This window comes from Homo sapiens, chromosome 20 (assembly GCF_000001405.40).
Source record: "Homo sapiens chromosome 20, GRCh38.p14 Primary Assembly".
NCBI lineage: Eukaryota > Metazoa > Chordata > Mammalia > Primates > Hominidae > Homo > Homo sapiens.
Genome location: NC_000020.11, coordinates 51,085,637 through 51,088,904, shown reverse-complemented (window position 1 = coordinate 51,088,904; position 3,268 = coordinate 51,085,637). Strand labels below are relative to the sequence as shown.

Here is a 3,268-nt window from a genome sequence, read left to right as displayed (position 1 = left end):
CAACTGGGATCAGCACAACTGCCCAGCCTACACATCAACTCATGAGAAATAATCATGATAATAAAAGGTTATTGGGGCTTTTTCATTTTAAAAAATGATTTATGTTTTAAAAATAAATGTTATTGTGTATATTTGAGGTTTACAACATGATGTTATGGGATACATATGGATAGTATAATGGTTTAAAAATTATTGCTTGAAAGGACATCAAGATGGAAATAATAGGCACTGGGGACTCCAAAAGGGGGAAGGGTGAGATGAGAGTGAGGTTGAAAAACCACTTATTGGGTAGAACGTTCACTGTTTGGGTGATGCGTCCACTAGAAGCCCAAACTTCACCATTACACAATATATCCATGTAATAAACTTGCACAGGTACCCCCTGAATCCATAATAAAAAATATTCTTAAAAAGGTTATTTGTTTGAAGCCATTACGTTTTGGGGTTATTTGTTATATGTCAGTAGCTACCTGATACAGGCTGCCTGCTTTGCAATTCTCCAAAAAGCTCAGAAGGGCCTGCTTCTTTCTTCTCTCTGAGTCTGCTGCCTCATTGAGAATTCTGATGAAAGGCTTCAGTGTAGCTGCTTCTTCACTAAAGACTCAGGTACAAGATCATCTCCCATTGAGGGAAACAGGGAAATCTGCCTTCAGCTAAATGAACAAGGACATCACCGAATACCACCACTCCCTTGGGAAATATACTTTAATAGTCCCCGTAGCTGAGAATGACACAAAGAAATTCTGAAGAAACAATAAGCTTCATTTATCATTTCTGCTTTAGAAGAAAAGTTTTGCCTGAATCATTGCTGATCTGTCTCCCCTGCAACCACCATTTACCTGCAGCCAGATTCCTTGCCAGGATTAGAGGACATCAGCTAGTCTAGAACTGATGACTTAAAAGGTGTTCGGGCTTTACCCTTCTTAGGGGATCCCTTTTTCGGGGATGACATAAAGTCCCAAGATACACCAGAATCAGCGCTGCTAAGGACTGGCAGGATCCAAAATGTGATTTTCGGTCTCTTCCCAGTGGAGGTGAAACGAAGTGGTCTGTACTCTCTCTACTCCACGTGTGGTCCAGGGACCAGCAGCATGGGGATGGAATTATCTGGGAGTTTGTCACAAACACCAAATCCCAGGCCCCATCCTTAACCTCCTGCATCAGAACCTGTGCTTTGACAAGATGCCAGGTGATGCAACTGTACATTTTGTGCAGGAAACTCTGCTCAACAACACCCGTCTCTGCTCGTGGAAGTTCATGTAAGTTACAGGGGTTTTAAACCAGAACATCACCCTCATTCTCAGTGTTATAAAGGACACCCTCCACTAACAGAACACAAATTTCCCAACCCCCAATGCGTGCAAGGCACACACACACACACAGGCATGCACACACTTCCCTCAACCAGGCTGGTCAAAGTCCCTCACTTGTGAGTCCTACTTGAAAGATTATGTCTTCTGAAACACAGCGCTTTGTACCTTAAAGGGCCTCTCAAATGTCCCACTGAGACCCAGGGGTTCATTCACCAGAAGCACTTAGTCTTGCTAGGAGATTAAAGGTTTCAAATGATTCCTTTCTGATCCCAACAGGATAGCTGCTTGCCTAAAATACAAGAGCCTCGTTGGAAGTAATCTCCATGGAAATCATTAACCCAGTTTATTAACAAGGAAAAAAATCCTAAGGATATTTTAAACTTTTAAAATATCTTTGCAAGCTAATGGCGATGAAAACAAAGCATTTTTAAGGCAAAAGAGTCCCTATAGCAGAAGTTAAAGTAAAACGCTCTCTGAATTTTAGCAATTCTATTTTAGGCTCTTAAATAAGCCCCGGAAATCCTGTTAATTTAAATTACTGACCACTCACCAACACCTTCCCTGAAATAATTCGCACCTTAATCGTCTCACGAAATATTTTTTTCAAGAAAAAAATATATGGACTGGGCACGGTGGCTCATGCCTGTAATCCCAGCACTTTGGGAGGCAGAGGCAGGCAGATCACAAGGTCAGGAGATCCAGACCATCCTGGCCAACATGGTGAAACCCCGTCTCTACTAAAATACAAAAATTAGCTGCGTGTGGTGGCGCATGCCTATAGTCCCAGCTACTCAGGAGGCTGAGGCAGGAGAATCTCTTGAACCCGGGAGGCGGAGGTTACAGTGAGCCGAGATCGCGCCACTGCACTCCACCTGCGACAGCGGGACTCCATCTCAAAAAATAGAAAATAAATTTAAAAAATAAACATATGTATATGAGGTTACTTATGTGCTGCTAACACATTATTTTCTCGAACTCTCTGAACTATGGGATGAAAAGACAATTGAAAAACAGACCTAGGCTATGTTTCCAAATGATTTTTCATCCCCTGTTCACGATAACCTTTTCAAGAGAGAGCTGGCGAGGCTGAAGGTAGCTATAATTATATAGCTACCAGCCCTGAAAAGACAAGGTTGTTCAGTGGTACTGATAAGACACGGGTTCAGAATGTTTTAGGCAGCATGCAAATGTATTCTGATTTTTTTCAACTCCCTTTAGAAGGGGGAAAAAAATCTTGTTTGAAGTATATTCTTGAGGTGGAGCTGGTAACAGATTAATTAGAAAAATGAAGTGATGGGAAAGGGAAGCCCTAACTGGTCAGCTCCCTCTCTCTGTCCAGCTGGGATAAAGCAAGCTTTTAAGGACCAGCCCCCTAATTTGAGAATATGGTCAAATGGGTCCTCTTCAGCCATTTGGAATCAGTCACTGGAATGACCAACTGGTGCCTGGATCACATCCATCCCCCTTTTAGCTGCCTCCACCTTCTGATTCTCCACTTTAGAAACATTCCTCCATCTCTTAGTCTGTGGGGACTGGGAGATGCTGAACTCGCTTCTGACTCCAAAGGGAAACACCTGACCTAGGTCTGGCCAATCAGCTCATCTCCTCCCTTCCCGGTCCCCAGTGATTGGTTCAGGGGTGGGCATGTGACCTAAGTCAATCCACTTAGAACTTTTCCGGGAACTATTGGAAAAGAGGTCCTGTCTTTCCACTGGAAGCTGTAGGGGGTAGGACTGGAGCTTCTGGAGCGTCCTAAGAAGAGCCTGCCTGGGAATGAAGCCAGCAGAGTGGAAGGCAGAGCTGAGGGAGGGAAAAGCTACTTTCTCCATAAGCCCTGGATCCAGCCATACCTGAAACCTCTAGACTTCTAAAATCCGAGAATTAACAAATTCCCCTCTTTTGTTTGTTTAATAGTTTTGAGTTGAGCTTCTGCTGCTTACATCCAAAGCTGTCTA

At 43.3% G+C, this 3,268-nt stretch overlaps 1 annotated feature.

Annotated features, from left to right (window-relative positions):
- Positions 1,233-1,812: an enhancer, noted in NCBI's record as "NANOG hESC enhancer chr20:49703630-49704209 (GRCh37/hg19 assembly coordinates)". NCBI's record gives its function as "activates a minimal SCP1, AML or CMV promoter by ChIP-STARR-seq in naive H9 embryonic stem cells {active_cell/tissue: H9 hESC(naive)}" and the evidence as "EXISTENCE:reporter gene assay evidence [ECO:0000049][PMID:30033119]".